Source organism: Homo sapiens, chromosome 5 (assembly GCF_000001405.40).
Source record: "Homo sapiens chromosome 5, GRCh38.p14 Primary Assembly".
Taxonomy (NCBI): domain Eukaryota; kingdom Metazoa; phylum Chordata; class Mammalia; order Primates; family Hominidae; genus Homo; species Homo sapiens.
The window spans coordinates 10,249,918-10,269,114 of NC_000005.10; the positions used below are offsets into that span (position 1 = coordinate 10,249,918).

Below are 19,197 nucleotides of genomic sequence, written 5' to 3' on the forward strand. Positions count from 1 at the left end.
AAAAAAAAAAAAAAAAACCGGAAATGGGTCCTACCATCTTCTCGGAGCCGGAGTGCGAAGAAATAAAGAAATAGTGCTTTAAGTCAATGAATTCCTCCTTGGGACCCACTATCGAGAAACTATCAGTGGTAACGTTTTAAAAAATGACAAATTCAATCTGCTCTTGACTTGTGTGTCCTAAGATTTCCACTAAGTGTCTTCAAACCTCCCCCTCCCCGGCTTCCTGGATAATAGAAGTTCCCGAAGGCCGCCGATTCCAGAAGATACTGTCTGGCGTGAAATTAGTCTCAGTAGAAACATAAGTCCCGCGCGTCTTGTGCTGCGCGTGCGCAAGCTTTTGGGCCCTCCCGAGAAAGGGAAGTGCATTCTCGCTTCCGTAGCGGTCTCCGCCGGTTGGGGGGAAGTAATTCCGGTTGTTGCACCATGGCGTCCATGGGGACCCTCGCCTTCGATGAATATGGGCGCCCTTTCCTCATCATCAAGGATCAGGACCGCAAGTCCCGTCTTATGGGACTTGAGGCCCTCAAGGTAATGGCACAGGGACCTGCTCGCGGTGGGCTAAGGGGAGGTGGCCGAGGCCGTGGCTCTGCGCCTGCGCGAGTTGAGGAGCGGCTCTGCCATGTGCTCCCCGGAAAGGTCGAGAATCTCCGTCTCCCTGCGGTCTCCGGCCGCTCAGCCCGCTTACTGAGCTCGGGAGACGCCGGCGCCTAATCCTGGGCTCGGAATGTGGGGGCCAGCCAGGCTGGGCCGCCAGCGCCCTTCGGAGCTGGGTGGGGCCGCTCAGTCCGGTCGCCCGCGGGAGCAAAGCGGGACCGCCTCCCCGCCCGGCTCCTCCAGCCTGACGGCCGCGTGGGACTGCGCTCCAGTGGGAGGGCGCCGGGGAGATGCTCTGTCACCTGTCGGTTAAGGCGCTGCTGCTTAACCTTTCGCTGGTCCACCCGCAACGGCCCTTCCGTTTTCTTTGTCACTCGTAAAGGTGTGGTCACTTAACAGGGTATTTCATTTCTGAGTGCTTTTTTGCCCACCCTTGAGGAAAAATAGCGAAGAGTGAAAAACGGACGCACATAACCGTAATACAAGGTGGTGTGCAGTGAGAAGGACAGCTACGGAGAGGGTGCACATAAGCGTGGTGCTGGAGGACAGCTTTAGATCGGGGTGAGAGGTAGCATTCTAGGGAGAGGAAACGGTAGAAGTAAAGGCTTGGGCAAGAATGCGCATGGCACGTTGTAGAATGGAAGAGCCATCCGGTTTTAATGGAGCACTGACTTCTTTAACTTACAATAGTTCCCGAAGGTGGAAGCTATTGAATGCCCAACATGGAAAATACGACGTTATCTTTGGGGAAGAAGGGGAGCCATTGAGGGGGTTTTGAGCAGAATTTCAGTAGAGCTGCACTTCAGGCAGCAAAGCTTGAGATAGACCGAAGGGAATAAGGAAGACCAGAGGGGTTAAAGAAACCAGGGCAGGGGTGCAGGTAAGAAACATCTGAGCACCAGACGTTGACAGAAAATGCAGAGGAAGGGACACTCCGAGAGGGCCTTCAGGGTTTGTTATAAAGTGAATTCATAATAGACCATTCCACTAGGTCTCTCAGGTGTCCCTGTTCACTTAGTGTCTTGGAGGTTTACTTACGCAAAGTTAGAAACAATACAGTTCCCCTATGGACTCTTTGTTTGACTTAGTGCTAGTTACACAACCTCGCGGAACCTCCTTTTCCAGGGGGAGGTGATAGGCCTCCGTCAAGCTGAAGACTTGACAGTGATATTAAATGGAGTGACTTAGAGGGGCTGCACAGTGGTTGATCCACGGTAGGCACTCAGTATTTGTTTCCTTTCTAGAAAGAAAAAGTTTCAAGCTAATTGTATTATGTATTCCATTTTATTTTCCACTTAACAGGGACCTGCAGAGAAAATAACATCCAATACACACACCTGGTGTAACAACATAACTAAAACTAGGTTGTTTTGCATCAGCCATTTTGTTCAAACTGCATGCATTTGTGCCCAGAAGTCGCACACTCTGAGACAGGGTTATTTTACAAAACTGGGGACTTGGGCCCAGAGCAGTTGAGAAATTGTTCTGAAGAGCAGTTGCTACTAAAGAGCATTACCATGGTCAGGGCCACCGCTGTCAGAGTCAAAGCCAGTGGTCTAGAGCAGCATTCTCAAGTTTGGCATATTGACATTCGAGGTCGGATCATTCTTTGCTGTGGGAGCTCATTTGGACAGTAACCTGGGTGTTTAAGTCTCTTAAAAGAGTTGGATGCTGTTGGTAGGCATCCTGTGAGTGTTGAGGCTCAGCAGTTTAGGGATATACACTTGCTCCCTGACCTCATAGAACGTCCAGCTAACTTGAAGAACCAAAATATATGGAAATTGAAGGCAACGGTAAAAGAAATGTATAGGCCAGGACGTGAACGTTTTAATGGTAATGGTCACAGTTCTTTCTCTCTGGTCATTTAGAGCCTTAAAGGTAATATGTATTTTGTTGAGATTCTTCACTTGTTTAACACTTAACTGTATAATATTTCACCTTAAAAATGCAGGCATTGACTGGGCGCGGTGGCTCACGCCTGTAATCCCAGAACTTTGGGAGGCTGAGGCAGGAGAATCGCTGGAACCTGGGAGGCAGAGGTTGCGGTGAGCCGAGATCACGCCACTGCACTCCAGCCTGGGTGACAGAGTGAGACTCCGTCTCAAAAAAAAAAAAAAAAAGGTGCAGGCATTAGTTGGCTTAGGAAGGAATCATATTCTAAAATCCTGTAACCTAAAACAGAGCAGGCTAAGTTTCCAGGCCAGCCAGCATAATTCTGTTTTATCCATAATATGTATTATGCCTTGATGTTTGATACTCTTCCCTCTGGAAACACACAGAACTAGCAGAAGGAAGAAAAAGGTTTTTTCCACGTTGCCGAGCAGTAGGGCAAAATAGATCTCGGGATTTCGGGATCTCTCCTATTTGCCAAATTCTTTACATCCTTTTCTTTCTGCCTCTTGCTTTCTCCTTAAAAATAATAATAATAATAATTCTATTACTCAATTTGGTAGCTAAATGTGAAAAAAAAAACAGGTAACTTTTTTATTATCACTTTGACAGCTACTTACCTTCCTTAAGAGGGCCAGTTTCAGCCGGGCGTGGTTGCTCAAACCTGTAATCCTGGCACTTTGGGCAGCCAAGGCAGGTGGATCACCTGAGGTCAGGAGTTAAAGACCAGCCTGGCCAACATGGCAAAACCCTATCTCTACTGAAAATACAAAAAAAAATGAGCAGGGCGTCATGGCGCGTGCCTGTAATCCCAGCTACTGGGGGGCTGAGGCAGGAGGATCGCTTAAACCCGGGAGGCGGAGGTTGCAGTGAGCTGAGATCATGCCACTGCACTCCAGCCTTTTTGAGACACAGCAAGACTGTCTCAAAAAAAAAAAGGCCAGTCAGTAACTTTGATCTATAAATATAATTATTGGGATTTCAGGTGGGTGGAGGAAGATTTTTAAAGCAAGAGCAGTTTTTCTTTTTATTTTGTAATGGGGTCTCGCCATGTTTCCCAGGCTGATCTCAAACTCCTGGCCTCAAGCAATCCTCCTGCCTCAGCCTCCCAAGTAGGGGGGGTTGCAGGCTCTAGTACTGCATCCAGCTCAAAAGATTACAATTCTGCAGTAAATCATAGTGTGACAGTAAGGTGTTGTATGTTTACAGTTGGACTGTTTCTCATGAGTACAGGCCCCTCCTTGTCTGCAGATGGGGAACCCGCAGATGTACAAGCCTAGATGCAAGGGACTTGAGCATCTGTGAATTTGGGTATCCTCGGGGGCTCCTGGAACCTGTTCCCCATGGATGCTCAGGGAGAACTGTGGCTCCTGGAACCAATTCCCCATGGATGCTCAGGGAGGACTGTGTTGCACAGTGGTCTTGCAACGCCTGTAAGGTCATAGTCATACTGTCCCTCTTCTCAGCTGTAAATGGGCTGGTAAAAGAATCTGTCTCATTAATGTGTTGAAAATTCAGTGAGATAACACAAAGCACTTGGTTCTCTTTCTTTACGTAAGAATTGCTTATTAAAACTGGAGTCGTAAATGTTATAATACTTAAACCTGTCTGTTGCCCCTTAAATGTAGAAGCTTCTAGACAATAGAAACTAAGTCATAAGTGATTTTTGTAGTCATCAGATGTGTGCTTTTAACCATTGAAATTATATGTAACAGTGTTTGCTTTTTCTGTTTGTTTCATTAGTCTCATATAATGGCAGCAAAGGCTGTAGCAAATACAATGAGAACATCACTTGGACCAAATGGTAAGAGTCCACCATTCCGTGTTTTTTAGCAAAAGATTTAAATTATAAAACTGTCAATATAAACCTCTCTACAGAAAGGTGGAGTATTGAGGGGAGGCATCTTACTTCCTTAACACAGCCAAAATTTTTTAGTGTATTTCAGGTTTCTTAAACATGGTTATAATCGTGTGCAATATTAGGTCGGACCTTTTTTTTTTTTTTTTTAGCATGTAACATCATTTCATTAGCATTTTCCAAATCATAGTTGTCTTTTGAGATTAACATTATACTTAATGATGCTCCATAATGTTTTGCCAATTATGTTAGCCAATCTAAAAATGCCTTCATGCAGCTACTATTTTGTGTATGTTGCATTATTTGTATATAATAAATTGCACAGATAAGAGCTGGGTCAGGAGGTCTTGTTTTATAGTTTGTGATATTGGTTGCCAGTTTTTTGCGCAAAGCCTACTAAACGTTGTTTTTTAGGGCTTGATAAGATGATGGTGGATAAGGATGGAGATGTGACTGTAACTAATGATGGGGCCACCATCTTAAGCATGATGGATGTTGATCATCAGATTGCCAAGCTGATGGTGGAACTGTCCAAGTCTCAGGATGATGAAATTGGAGATGGAACCACAGGAGTGGTTGGTAAGAAAAGACAAAACATCCTTTCTCATTTAAGAGACGTCATTTAAGACCACAGGGCTAACATGCCTGCTGAGATTGTTGTCTCTGAATCAGAGCATGAGGAGACAGACAAATCCAAGTTGAAAACATGCTACAAAACAAATGTCGGACTTTCAAAACTGACAGTGTTACAAAAGAACAGAAAGAGGGCTGGGGATTGTTAGGCATGGAGAAATGTGTAATGATTGATTGGACACTGATTTTGCTTGTCTTTTAAGCTATAAAGGATGTTTGGGAAACGTGGAAGAATTTGATTTTGGATCATGTACTGCAATGCTGAGTTTCCTGAGTGATCTGTGACCATTATATTGCAGATGTGTAGGAGAATGCCCTTCTTCTCAGCTGTATACCTAAATACTTAGGAGTGACATGTCATGGTTTCTGTAACTAATTCTCAAATAGTTGAACAGAAACAGTATGTACATGTAGAGAAAATGTGGCAAAATGTTAATAAGTAAACTGGTATTCGTTTTAGTATTGTACCTTTTTTTTCTGAAGATTTGAAATCTTTAAAAAGTTGGGGAGATTGAAGACAAAATATCAGTAAGGTTACCTTTTCTGCAGATGAAATTTGAATTCATTCAACAAATATTTATTGGATACTATTGTATGCCAAGCACTGTTCTCGGTGCGCTTGGAGAGCTGTAGATTTAAACAAAATTCATCTTTGCGACCCTAAAATGAGGAGAAAGGAGGATGGGGGTGGGGGGAATAAATAATAAACACGTTTTAGTCTCATCACCAGGCTGAATTTCACTGAGTAGACCCTGGCCCAGGAAACATAATAGCTTTTTACCTCTTAGAAAAATGTTCTTTTTACATTATATTCTTTAGTTACGTTCTTCACATCACTGAGGGTTGAATGTTCATCTGTAAGGGGACACATGTCCTATTCGACCTTCGCTAGAACTAAAACGAGGCTTTCTTTTAAAAATAGAGGGCTTCTGCCTCTAAGATGACTTGCAGCTTAATTCTAGAAGCTGCTTCTTTCCATGATAGCATCTAACTTGTGCTGATTATACTAAAAGTGAAGTTTTGTTGTTTGCCTGAACTGATTGTCTGCTGGCTTATTTGCAGTCCTGGCTGGTGCCTTGTTAGAAGAAGCGGAGCAATTGCTAGACCGAGGCATTCACCCAATCAGAATAGCCGATGGCTATGAGCAGGCTGCTCGTGTTGCTATTGAACACCTGGACAAGATCAGCGATAGCGTCCTTGTTGACATAAAGGACACCGAACCCCTGATTCAGACAGCAAAAACCACGCTGGGCTCCAAAGTGTACGTTTCAGTAGATGATATGATTACCCATTTGTAGAGGAGGCAGTTTGTTTGCCATTTCTTAAAGGCAACACAAAATGACCACTGGTGGATTTGTATCGATTTGATTATTTGTTTTGATTACTTGGTTTTGCTTTGTTTTTAATGTAGATGTAGACAGATGCATTTTGTATTTAAGTTGAGAACTGAATTTCTAAGTTCAGGTATAAATCCCCTTGACAATATTTGCAAAATATAGTTATTTTAATTTAGCAGAATAGGTTGTGTTAAAAATCAGCTAAGGCTGGATGCAGTGGCTCATACTTGTAATCTCAGCACTTTAGGAGGCCAAAGCAGTAGCTTGCTTGAGCTCAGGAATTGAAGACCAGCCAGGGCAATGTAGTGGGACCCCATCGCTACAAAACAAAAAACTAGCCAGGCATGGTAGCACACACTTCAGCAACTCCAGAGGCTGAGGTGAGAGGTCGAGGCTGCAGCAAGCCATGATCATGCCACTGCACTCCAGCTTGAGCAACAGAGCGAGACCCTGTCTCAAAAAAAAAAAAAAGTCAACTAGAAAGGGTCCTACCTGGAGGATATGTGAATTTTCTTAACACTTCTTTCTATAATTTCTTTGCTGGGGAGCCATTGGGGGTGGGTTCCACTTTTTATTCAGCAAATTGCCGATCCAAAATTATAATTTAGTAAAGAGAGTCTTGAAAGCGACTTGTCTCTGGTGTTTTCAGCGTTCGTGTAATGTCCGTTTGCCAGGCTTACTGCCAGGTCTTATGGGCACTAAGACACAGCTCTTCTCCCAGGAGACTCTAAGCAACCTCAGCCAAGGGGTGCGCTGATTATGTACAATGCCAAAGACTTAAGGTCTGTTGCCGTAATATAACATAAAAATCCAGTGTAAGCTGCTTTATTACATTATATTAAATCAGTGAGAGATGTTTTCAATTGTGTGCTTGTGGTGGTTTTAGCAAAAAGGAATGAGGGATCTTCTAAACTCAGAGTAGTCAGGGAAAATGCAGGAAAAGTGTCTGCTTCTGTTGCCTTTTCCCCTGAGCAAAGCCTATGTTAGAGCAGAAGCCTTCAGCAATGCCTGCTGTCCTCCTCTAACCACAGATCTCAGCAGAGACTAGCTCCCTAGGCAAGAGTGAGTACCCTAGGGGTAGCCTCTTGTCACAAGTATAACACTTATTTTCTCATGAAAGGAGGACATCATCATTACTTGAAGTGTACAAATCAGTTTTCTTGTTGCTTTATAAGTTGGCCTTGTTCTGTTTGCAAGTATTAAGTCATCTACTTAAGATACAACATGTTTACTTTCATGGTTCTCTTTTATAGATAACCTGTGATTTCAGACATTATTTCAAGTGCTAGGTTTCCCTAGTTGTTTTTCTTGGCTCAAAAATTAATTTATTGAACTGTCTATTCACATGTTTCAAAGCTTTCAAAAAGGTAACACCCTCCATCTATAATGGATGTTGTGGTGAATTCTTGGAAAGTTTAAATGCCCTGTCCAGTCCTTTCAGTTCCTGGTTAGTGCTACACTTCATTGAGATAAGAGTGACTCTTCCTGAGTGATTACTTACCTTTCCCATTCTGTTCTGAACTTGTAAAATAGTAACAGTATTCTGTAAAAGTGCTGCATTCTAAGAAGACCTTAATTCATGCCAGACTACAGTGGTTTCTTGAGTACATTCATAATGGAAGGAAATAGTAAATTTCAGAGTTAGCGAAAATAAAGATGTAATTTTTTCCTATCTAAGTATACAGTCCCCTTTAGGGCCCATGGATCACAGGTTAAGAATCTGCCCCAGACTGTTGAAAATGCAGGTTGAGATGGCATTCCCCTCTAGAAGACTCAAAACATCGTTTGATTTATATCTTTGAGTAACATTGTGTTATGTGGCCTGCTTTGGTTGCAGTAATTGTGAAACCAATGAAGTTTGTTTTGTGGTGTTTTCCTCAGGGTCAACAGTTGTCACCGACAGATGGCTGAGATTGCTGTGAATGCCGTCCTCACTGTAGCAGATATGGAGCGGAGAGACGTTGACTTTGAGCTTATCAAAGTAGAAGGCAAAGTGGGCGGCAGGCTGGAGGACACTAAACTGATTAAGGGCGTGATTGTGGACAAGGATTTCAGTCACCCACAGATGCCAAAAGTGAGCCATTGCATCTCACAGCTTCGCACTGTTGGTTAACTCTTAATTCCACCAATTAAAATGTCTTTATGTTCCCCCATAGAAAGTGGAAGATGCGAAGATTGCAATTCTCACATGTCCATTTGAACCACCCAAACCAAAAACAAAGCATAAGCTGGATGTGACCTCTGTCGAAGATTATAAAGCCCTTCAGAAATACGAAAAGGAGAAATTTGAAGAGATGATTCAACAAGTAAGTCTTACCAGAGTCCTCAGTGGAATTTAAACTCCCAAAGGGTACAGTTAGTTAGGTTTGGTTAGTAAATATGTGTAGTCTTTCTTCAGTTCTAAAACATACACAGGAAAAAACCAAATTGCATAGAAAGGCATAAACAGGGAAGAATTCTAATTTTGTCTTAAAATGGTAGCGTGTTCAGGCCAGGTGCAGTGGCCATGCCTATAATCCCAGCACTTTGGGAGGCTAAGGCAGGCAGATCGTGAGATCATCGAGACCATCTGACTAACACGGTGAAACGCCATTTCTACTAAAAACACAAAAAATTAGCCAGGCATGGTGGCAGGCACCTATAGTCCTAGCTACTCAGGAGGCTGAGACAGGAGAATCGCTTGAACCCAGGAGGCAGAGGTTGCAGTGAGCTGAGCTTGCACCACTACACTCCAGCCTGGGCGACAGAGCAAGACTCTGTCTCAAAAAAAATGGTAGTGTGTTCAGGGTCCTGAAAGAAGTGACCCTGTTACCTAAAGCCGTGCTTTCAATTGTACATATTATATTTGCCGTCCTGGACAAATTTAACTTAGCTTACCTTGCCTTTAAGATTTCTGACTATACCTTTTAGGCAAGAGTTAATGAGTAACTGGAGTTAAACCAGAATGCACTCATAGTAATCCCAGTTCTTTGCTCAGTTAAGTCTAGTTTGGGTTCATGAATACCTTAGCGTAGGTGTGCTTTCTCTCTGACATAGCAACTCCTCTTTGGGGGCTGCGTCCTTGGGAGTTGAAAACACCAGTACTCAAGAAGACAGGAACGTGGGTTGGTTAGGGTATTATTTATCATAGCAAACCAACTAGAGACTATTTTCATGTCTGTTCTTGGGAAAGTTGTTGAATGTACTCATTGATGATACGGTTCTTGGTGCCTACGACATACCAGGCTCTGTTGTAGGCACTAAAGGTACAGCAGGGAATGAAGCCAAGCTCGTGCTCTTGAGACACAGATAAGAGAAAGGTGGGTACAGCTCCATTACAGACACTGGTCAGAGAGGTGACCTGTAAGGAGAGGCCAACATAGGGTGAGAGCAGTGCCCCTGGGGGAGGAGCATTCCAGGCTGAGGACAGATGGGGATGCTCCTGAGCCAGGAACATTGTTGGCTTGTACAAGGAAGAGCCAGCCTCAGGGATTGAAGCATGCTGGCGGGAGCTTATAAATAAAAGGCCATCATCTGGGCCGGTGGGACAGTTTTCATGAGAATGGTGCCTCAGCTGTGCTGGGGGGCCACAGATAAATTGAGAGGCCAGGGATGTTACTGGATCGTGCTGGTGAGGCGCAGGTTGCTGAGAATGAGAAGGGAATGACGATGGGGCTAGATAGTAAAATGTTAAAGAATGAGAGGCAGGGACCCAAAGAGGAACACTGCAGGTGACTGAGGAGCAAGAAGGACCCTCTCCTGTTCTGAGCATGTGAGAGGGAAAGCAGCTGCCATCTGAGGAGGGTTGCAGGGGCAGGTTGGTTTTCCGGGGTTGTGACGGAGAGATTGTATAAGGAGGCTGCTGTTCTGGACTGAGTTCCAGAGGGTCAGGGAAGGAAGAGAGGGAGAGCCAGGCAGTAGCAGGTAGCCTGGGAGGCCTGATGGAGACAGGTAAGCCAGAGTTGTGGGGCACGGTGTGGCAGTCCCAGGTGAGCACCAGAGGTGGGGTGGGCAGCCTGATCGTTGCCCTCCTAATTGGGAAAAGTGACTTTGCCATTTGCAGGTCGGGGTGAGGGTGCTTCTTACTGGAAGCAGGGTTGCCTCTGTGAGTGCCCGAATTAGTTTATGGATCCACTGAGGATTGTCCACTCAGGTGAGACAGTCAAGTTGCAAGTGGTTCATAACATTGTTTGTTTAAAACATACTCAGGTGAAACTACTCTGTAGGTGTTTGTGACAGGACAGAGCTGTTAGCCATTTCCCCATGGTTGGGGAAGGGTGTTAGCTTTGTTGACGTTTCTGTGGGTTTTGCCTCACTGTAACAATAGGGTTCAGCAGAATTACTGCTTGTGGTTTTTAAAGCATAAACAATGAGGTGATCCCCATTGATAAAATATTCACTATTTAGAATTTGGAACTGACAGAAAAGTGGACACTTGTCTATTTCCTTCCTTCTCTTTCCTTTGCTTTTGTGTTTGAGTGCACCTGCCTTACACCCAACTGTGCCTCTCCTTTTTTCAAACATTGTAATGAAGAATAAATACCCACTTTCTCTTAATACGATTGTGGTGGTTCTTTTCCCAGATTAAAGAGACTGGTGCTAACCTAGCAATTTGTCAGTGGGGCTTTGATGATGAAGCAAATCACTTACTTCTTCAGAACAACTTGCCTGCGGTTCGCTGGGTAGGAGGACCTGAAATTGAGGTAGGATGTTCCACGTGAAGAGACTTTGAGAAGTAGGGGTTCATCTTATGTGTTGAGGGGTGTTTTGATAGCCCTGCCTTAAATAACTGCATCACACCAAGGCTGGCAGATGAGGGGAGGGTGAGCTGGGAGAGAGGAAAGCGCTGGAATCTTTGTTACTGTTTGGATAACAGTGCTGTGTGTTTCTGGTGTTCCCTGGCATTTTGAAATTCTCTCCCTGTGTTGTCTCACTTGGCCCTGTCGTTGACTTACTAAGGCTGGAAGACCTGGTCTCATCCAAATACTAATGGCAGTCCCAGGCAACGGTGCCTCGGTGGTTCTCACTGCAGCGCAGTGCAAGGAACATGCAGGCTGGGTTCCCAGAGTGAGGGAGGGCTGCACAGATGGGAGATGAGGGTATGAGCTTAGGGGACGGGCGCCGGGTGATAGATCTGGGCAGCACCAAAGCCCCAATCAAGACGTCCAGCTCAAGAGCCTTGTTACCTAGCAAGGTGCTTTGGGTTGAACTGGAGATGTCTCGGTCAAAGTGGGGCAGCAGTTCTAGTGAACAAGTTGGTCTTAGATCAAGTTTTGCTCATTTGTGGCCCAGTTTTGAAAGTTAACTTCACCAGTACTGTCTTCATCCTTCTCCCTGACCACCCCAATTAGCTGATTGCCATCGCAACAGGAGGGCGGATCGTCCCCAGGTTCTCAGAGCTCACAGCCGAGAAGCTGGGCTTTGCTGGTCTTGTACAGGAGATCTCATTTGGGACAACTAAGGATAAAATGCTGGTCATCGAGCAGTGTAAGAACTCCAGAGCTGTAACCATTTTTATTAGAGGAGGAAATAAGATGGTGAGAATTCAACTATTTGTCCTATACTGTTGCTTATTTTGCTTCATGGTCTGGCTTTTTTGCCTGTGTGTATTTAACAGAGACACAGTCACCATAAGAAAAATAATCGTGGTTCTCAAACAATGACGTATCATGGTGTAAAATTACTGAAGACCATGTTAAATTGTTAATTTCACAAGGCACATTTGCCTTTCTGCTGTCCCTTAGAGTATACAATATACACTATGAGATTTTTATATCTTTTTAAATACTTAAACACAGTTTAAATATTCAAGTCCTGGATTTTAGAATGTTTGATACAGTTACATTAGGGGTTGGTTAAACTGCTAGCCCTAGCAACATAAGACTCATTTTAATTACAATATGGTATTATTACCAAGGATGACTTACATCTGTCCCTTAGGTAGAAAAAGGGAACCCAAGTGAATAACCATTGACGATCTCTGTTCTTTGAGAATGAGTTTTTAGCACATTGTGATAAATCTTTGCGAGTTTTGTCAGTTTTTGACTCTTGCTTGACCGTGTATCCTAGAATGAGTCACTGGCCGCCTCTGCCTCTTGAATTTTGTTAACTACATTGCAGGAAGGAAAGCTAGAAAGATAAATATTATCCGATAGTGGAGGCCATCTAAATATTAGAGCACAGCCTCTCTGTCTTTAAAAAGGTGCCAGATACTTGGCTCTAAATTGACTAGATCTTGATCACATTAATTCAGGCAAAGCTGTTTTCCTTAGATCATTGAGGAGGCGAAACGATCCCTTCACGATGCTTTGTGTGTCATCCGGAACCTCATCCGCGATAATCGTGTGGTGTATGGAGGAGGGGCTGCTGAGATATCCTGTGCCCTGGCAGTTAGCCAAGAGGCGGATAAGGTAAGGGATCTGTGCAGACTTAGTGAAAGATTCAGGCCTCGCTGATGGTGGAGACTGTGAAGCTGCGGAACAGCGAGGTGCTGGATGCAAAACAAGCATCGTGAGCTGTGTGTAGGTGACAGGTGTTTTAATCTAAGTTAATTCCCACGTTCCTGTATTCAGATTCTGGTTACCATAACCTAGCATTTCTCAGCTGTTTTCAGCCAGTTCGTCCTTGAAATAATAAATCTATAGTCTTTTAATGTTATTTGAAATTCAAAATTAATATTATAACTTAAAAATAAAGCCATAAGAGCTGCTGTATTTTGAGACATCTCTCACATGTATGTATACCCTCTGCCTGTATTCTGTGGTGACATTATAATATTCTGATAGATACAAAAATAAAGACAGCCTGTTCTTACAATTCTTTGTGAGCTGACTTTTCAAAGTATGTGATACAGTTGTGTTTTCACGGTGCCGCTGGGTTGTTTTGTTTCGCCAAGTGCACTCACCATACTTCTGTACCTTTCCAGTGCCCCACCTTAGAACAGTATGCCATGAGAGCGTTTGCCGACGCACTGGAGGTCATCCCCATGGCCCTCTCTGAAAACAGTGGCATGAATCCCATCCAGACTATGACCGAAGTCCGAGCCAGACAGGTGAAGGAGATGAACCCTGCTCTTGGCATCGACTGTTTGCACAAGGGGACAAATGGTGAGGAGCTGTCACGCCTCTGCGTGGAGGGGGGGGGATGTCTGATTTAAACTGAATAATCATCCACTGTATGTGCTGTGAGATGATGGTGTCTTTTTAAATATGTAAGCCCACTTCAGGTGTTCAAGTCCTGAATTTTAGAATGTTTGATTGCCGTAGGAATTGGTTAGACTACTAGACCTAGCAACATGAGACTCATTGTAATAACAGTAAAGTGCATATGGTACTATCACCAAAGATGACTTAGGTTTTAATCTCTGGTTTTTGGGAAGTAATGCCTTATTGCTGTTTTTACACAGATGTCTGTCAGTGGGCAGCATATATATAACAGCTCTGAAGTGGGCTTTAGTTCACAGTTCACTGTGTGGTTAATCCTGCACACTGTGGAGTGTTTTCTAAATGTAATATATAACCTCTGTAGCCACTTGTGTAGCTCGGCTCCCAAAAAGATATGGTGGCTGTAGCTTGTTGAAACAGTGGTCTCAGGCATTTCTGTACTAAATCAGGCCATGTCTGTAATCCATCCACAGAATGACAGCTTTTGCTTAAAGGTATAGGTACATTCTGCTTTCCATGCTCAAATTCCAAGGGTTTCAATAGTAGCAACTCTTTGTGAGGCAAACATTTAATGTTTCTAACTTGAATGCCTGGTTGTGCTCAAATTTAGCATTTCTAGGGCCGGGCGCAGTGACTCATGTCTGTAATCCCAGCACTTTAGGAGGCCAAGCCGGGTGGATCACCTGAGGTCAGGAGTTTGACACCAGCCTGACCAACATGGTGAAACACCATCTCTACAAAAAATACAAAATTAGCCAGGCCTGGTCAGGGCAGGCACCTGTAATCCCAGCTACTCGGGAGGCTGAGGCAGGAGAATCGCTTGAACCCGGGACGCAGAGGTTCCAGTGAGCTGAGATCGCACTGTTGTATTCCAGCCTGGGTGACACCTGTCTCCAAAAAAAAAATTAGCATTTCTAGATCTTTCTTGGAAATATCTTACATTTCAGCTGTGGTCAGATGGACTTACTTTAGATTTCCTAAGTTAGGGTATGGATACTTTGTGGGATAAGATGTTCCTGAAAAATGTCACCCTGTAGCTAGTCATTGAAGACAGTGCCCTCCCAACAGCTCTCTTTACCAGGTGCGAGTTCCAGAGTGTCCTTGGAAGTAATGAAATTACATTCATCTGAAAATGAAATATAACTGAAATTAGTGGCTTCCTGCTTGGCTTCCAGGAGTTTGTATTTCTTAAGTCTTACTGTGATTCCCTAAATCAGAAAGAGTTGGTTATTGATAGTTTATTGTATGCTATTTTAGGATAATCAGTGTCCTTGTATTTTTCAGATATGAAGCAACAGCATGTCATAGAAACCTTGATTGGCAAAAAGCAACAGATATCTCTTGCAACACAAATGGTTAGAATGATTTTGAAGATTGATGACATTCGTAAGCCTGGAGAATCTGAAGAATGAAGACATTGAGAAAACTATGTAGCAAGATCCACTTCTGTGATTAAGTAAATGGATGTCTCGTGATGCATCTACAGTTATTTATTGTTACATCCTTTTCCAGACACTGTAGATGCTATAATAAAAATAGCTGTTTGGTAACCATAGTTTCACTTGTTCAAAGCTGTGTAATCGTGGGGGTACCATCTCAACTGCTTTTGTATTCATTGTATTAAAAGAATCTGTTTAAACAACCTTTATCTTCTCTTCGGGTTTAAGAAACGTTTATTGTAACAGTAATTAAATGCTGCCTTAATTGAAGGGGTTTGGGTGGATTTTTTTTTCTCAAAATAAGCTGTAGGGACTATTTTAACAGCTTAAACAGGAGCTCTCAAGATGCACTTTCATATTGAGAGGAATATGGGCTTGATCCTCTTCCTATCTAAATGGGTGGGCCATTTGATTGTAGAGGGTCCACCACAGAATTATGGGATGCCTTAAGTGCTGTTACTAGGTTGCTCACAGCCTAACCTGGCGTGTTGTTTAGGGCTGATGGAGACCCATGTGAGCCTTTGCTTTCCTCTGGCCCCGGCCCCACCCTGAACACAGCTCATACACAGAATCAGGACCAGCATGTGCAGAGCTGGCCACCAGCACAGGCTTAGGGCAGTTCAGAACCCACTTGTTTCCCTATCAGAGGGACACAGTGAAGTGGAGGTTAAAGTAAATTACAGGAAATAAGGGAGAAATCTTGCAGTTACCATGTTCAGATAGAGTGACTGAAATTAATTGTACTTACTAAAGTATTAACTAGCTAACAGTGATGGGCCAAGACGCTCCGAGAACTCTACCGGGATTGTCTGTTCTGACAACCCAGTGAGGCAGATACACTTTCTTACTGCTCACATCTTACAGGTGAGTACTCATAATTGGCCAGCATCTCACCACCAGCAAGTAGTAGGGCCAGGTCAATCCCAGGCAGTCTGACCCCAGAGTGGCCCAGCTCATCCCCTACTCTGTTATTTGCTTGTTAATGATTCTCTAGATTTTCTAAAATAATGTTTCTTAGCATTGTGATGATAAAGCTCATGATGAACTTTATCACTAGTTATGCCACCTTAACTAGTCAGATTTCCTAGAATTAGGAAATGGTGACTCTTGTCTAAATTTGGTTAAGTGATGAATTTGGGTTACCGTCTCATGTGAACCTGGAGATTCACCAGTCTTAACTTTTGGGTCATTGTGTTTTCTCTACATTCATGCATTGGATGTTTTGCTAAATAACTCCTGTGGATTTAGGAATGTGTGCTAATAGCAATCTTCCTAATTTTCATGTTTATATGGAACTATGCAGTTGAGTATTGAAAGCTTTAAACTGAGTTTATTTACAAGGACTGAGTCTAGCCTACAGAGAACATACAGCAGCCTTCTTTGGACCACAGTCTTATCCGAGGGGTCTGTGGTTGTATCAGAAGAGCCACTAAACCAATCCCCCTTTCCAAAATTGAACCTCACAGACGTTCCTGTTTTTTGTGATTGAGAAACTGGTCAATGAACAGGAAGACTTAGAGATGTTTCACAAGCCTTTGATTTTTGTTTCATTTATTTGTAATAAACCTCTTCCACGTGATGTCTTTTATTTTTCACGTTCCAGATCACTCAAGTTTTATTTTGCTGGTACTTTGGCCACACCCTCTCCTTCCCCATGTGGAGCAAAAGCAACTTAGGGTGCTTGACCCAAAGGCTAGATTCCCATGTAAGTCCCCATGTATTACTGCTGGTTCCCGATTTCTACACCTGCTAGATTCATTGGAGGTTTGTTAAATGTCCTGTTTTTAATTTCAGCCTACTCAATTTCTATGTGGGGGCAGTTCCAGGATGTCCTGTAGGTGCCAGATTTCATGGACGCTCAAGTCCCTGATAAAAATCGTGGTATTTGCATATAACATACATCCTCCTGTATACTTTAAATCATCTCTATTATTCATAATATCTAATATAAATGATATGTAAGTGTCATACTGTATTTAGGGAGTAATGACAAGAAAAAATCTACATGTTCAGTACAGATGCAATTTTTTTCTCTGAATGTTCTCAACCTGAGGTTGGTTGAATTCAGATGAGGGTCAACTCTGCAAGCAGCCGCTGTGAGGCACAAATGTCACAGGGAGGGCTAAGAGGCCCATCTCTCTGTTACATTGGACTGAATTTCTTGACTCTCATTTTCTTTCTCTAGGTGAAACAGCTCCAACAGATTGAGGGTTGGGGGGTGTGGCCAGAGGAAGGTGACACGGTAGTAACTGACTAATCAGTAATTTGTAAGCATGGAGAAGTTTCTCCAACCTAGGTGTTCCTTGCAGGCAGTCTTGGCAGAATGGGGTCATCTAAAAGCACCAGAAAAGTGGGGACCAAAGGCAAATGGCCGAGAAAGTGTTGAAGGGCAGGAAAAGTGGGGAAAACACGACAAGGTAGTAAAAATATAAATGTGTGTGCCCTATCACTGCTCTAAATGGTTTATGTACATTAAAACTGGTTTTCAAAGTCTGCTCCATGGATCCCTCGGGGTCCTGGGTCTTTCCAAGGGGCCTATGAGTCAAATGTATTTTCCTACACTGAAGTTACTGCCCTTTTCACTGTGTTGACTTTTGCACTGATGGTGCAAAAGCAGTGACCATTAAAACCACACCTTAGTGTGAGTCAGGTAGTGGCACCATACACTTTCAAAAAGAAAATCATCTTTTTGGCCAGGTGCAGTGGCTCGCACCTGTAATCCCAGCACTTTGGGAGGCTGAGGCAAGAGGAGTCGCTCTAGCCCAGGAGTCAGAGACCAGCCTGGGCAACATACACCCTGTCTCTACCAAAAATAAGTTAGTTGGGCCTGATGGCATGCTTATATGGTCCCAGCTACTTGGGAGGCTGAAGTGGGAAGATCCTTTTGAGCCCAGGAGGTTGAGGGTGCAGTGAGCCATGGTCACACCACTGCAATCCAGCCTGGATGACAGAGCGAGACTCTTTCTCAATAATAAAGTATGAATCTTTGACATTGCATAATGAAATGTGTCAACAACCGGAAGATCTGCTCACTAGACCAATATTTGCCAAATATGCATATGATGTTACAGCATCATGCATAGGTACCAGACCTTTTCAAGATGCAAGATGGACCAGTGTGACAGAAGAAAGTGTATTCAGTCTATCACTTGTTGGGTTTTGGTGCAATATCGAAGAATATCCAGTTTTGTGAAAGGCAATTAAAATACTTCTCCCTTGTCCAACTACATATCTGTGTGTGGCCAGATCTTCATATTCCAGAACATGCTGTGGCCAGACACAGTGGTTCATGCCTGTAACCCAAGCACTTTGGGAGGCTGAGGCAGGAGTATCGCTTGAGCCTAGGAGTTCGAGACCAGCCTGGGCAACAAAGTGAGACTCTGTCTCTACACAAAAAAAATTGTTTAATTAGCAGGGCATGGTGATGTGTGCCTGCAGTCTTACCTACTTGGGAAGCTGAGAAAGGAGGATCCCTCGAGCCCAGGGGGTTAAGCTGCAGTGAGCCATGACCATGCTGTTACTGGCGTTGAATCTGCACAGGTCTGCAACAGCCTCAATTCTCGCCTCCTCAGAAGAAAGAATTCGGCTGAGGGGCATAACGCAGGAGAGACCAAGGCAAGTTTTAGAGCAGGAGTGAAAGTTTGTTAGAAAGCTTTAGGCCAGGCGCGGTGGCTCACGCCTGTAATCCTAGCACTTTGGGAGGCCAAGGTGGGCAGATCACTTGAGGTCAGAAGTTTGAAACCAGCCTGGCCAACGTGGTGAAACCCCGTCTCTACTAAAAACACAAAAACATTAGCCGGGCATAGTGGCAGGAGCCTGTAACCCCAGCTACTCAGGAGGCTGAGGCAAGAGAATCGCTTGAACCAGGGAGGCGGAGGTTGCAGTGAGCCGAGATCACGTCACTACACCCCAGCCTGGGTGACACAGCAAGACTCCGTCTCAAAAACCAAAAATAAAAACAAAAAGCTTTAGAGCAGGAATGAAAGAAAAGTACACTTGGAAGAGGGCCAAGCGGGCAACGAGAGATCCAATGCAGGGTTGGGCCTTTCAACTTGGGGTTTTATATGTTGGCGTACTTCCAGGGTCTTGGGTTACTTCTCCCGATTACACCCCAGGCATGGGCTGTCGCATACACAGTGGCCTGCCAGCACTTGGGAGAGGAGCAGGGCAGTGTGTTTACTGGAGTTCTACACATGCTCACTTGAGGCCTTCTTCCCTTACCAGTCTAGCATTCCAGTTAGATGACGCCATTTTGCCTCTTAATGCGCATGCTTGAGCCCACCTGTCCAACTCCTGAGATGTTG

The 19,197-nt window shown here is 44.0% G+C and overlaps 1 protein-coding gene across 5 annotated transcripts, besides 3 other annotated features; it reads left to right on the forward strand.

Annotated features, from left to right (window-relative positions):
- On the forward strand, window positions 4-16,495 carry CCT5 (chaperonin containing TCP1 subunit 5). 5 transcript variants are annotated; one of them, NM_001306153.1, is made up of 11 exons: window positions 4-128; window positions 4,228-4,288; window positions 4,757-4,921; window positions 6,038-6,236; window positions 8,194-8,386; window positions 8,469-8,618; window positions 10,875-10,994; window positions 11,643-11,828; window positions 12,564-12,701; window positions 13,217-13,397; window positions 14,739-16,495. In NM_001306153.1, exons 1-11 carry the CDS (start codon window positions 87-89, stop codon window positions 14,864-14,866), a joined length of 1,563 nt encoding a protein of 520 aa, NP_001293082.1. In that variant the 5' UTR covers window positions 4-86; the 3' UTR covers window positions 14,867-16,495. The 5 variants fall into 5 exon arrangements, with proteins under 5 accessions (NP_001293082.1, NP_036205.1, NP_001293083.1 ...); NM_012073.5 differs by lacking the exon at window positions 4-128 and adding an exon at window positions 363-528 and having other exon boundaries at window positions 14,739-16,472; NM_001306156.2 differs by lacking the exon at window positions 4-128 and adding an exon at window positions 620-976 and having other exon boundaries at window positions 14,739-16,472.
- Window positions 681-750: a silencer, noted in NCBI's record as "silent region_15915". NCBI's record gives its function as "represses an Ori minimal core promoter by ATAC-STARR-seq in GM12878 lymphoblastoid cells {active_cell/tissue: GM12878}" and the evidence as "EXISTENCE:reporter gene assay evidence [ECO:0000049][PMID:35858748]".
- Window positions 821-960: a silencer, noted in NCBI's record as "silent region_15916". NCBI's record gives its function as "represses an Ori minimal core promoter by ATAC-STARR-seq in GM12878 lymphoblastoid cells {active_cell/tissue: GM12878}" and the evidence as "EXISTENCE:reporter gene assay evidence [ECO:0000049][PMID:35858748]".
- Window positions 1,291-1,513: a silencer, noted in NCBI's record as "fragment chr5:10251320-10251542 (GRCh37/hg19 assembly coordinates)". NCBI's record gives its function as "represses an EF-1alpha promoter that drives an FKBP-Casp9 reporter gene in an ReSE screen in K562 erythroleukemia cells {active_cell/tissue: K562}" and the evidence as "EXISTENCE:reporter gene assay evidence [ECO:0000049][PMID:32094911]".

What these genes read in the sequence shown, in the direction of transcription:
- CCT5 (NM_012073.5), top strand. Translation starts at nt 424, where the DNA reads ATGGCGTCCATGGGGACCCTCGCCTTCGATGAATATGGGCGCCCTTTC. An exon ending in TGGAACCACAGGAGTGGTTG is followed by an intron (nt 4,922 to 6,037) that starts GTAAGAAAAGAC and finishes GCTTATTTGCAG; the next exon opens with TCCTGGCTGGTGCCTTGTTA. An exon ending in TTTGCACAAGGGGACAAATG is followed by an intron (nt 13,398 to 14,738) that starts GTGAGGAGCTGT and finishes TGTATTTTTCAG; the next exon opens with ATATGAAGCAACAGCATGTC.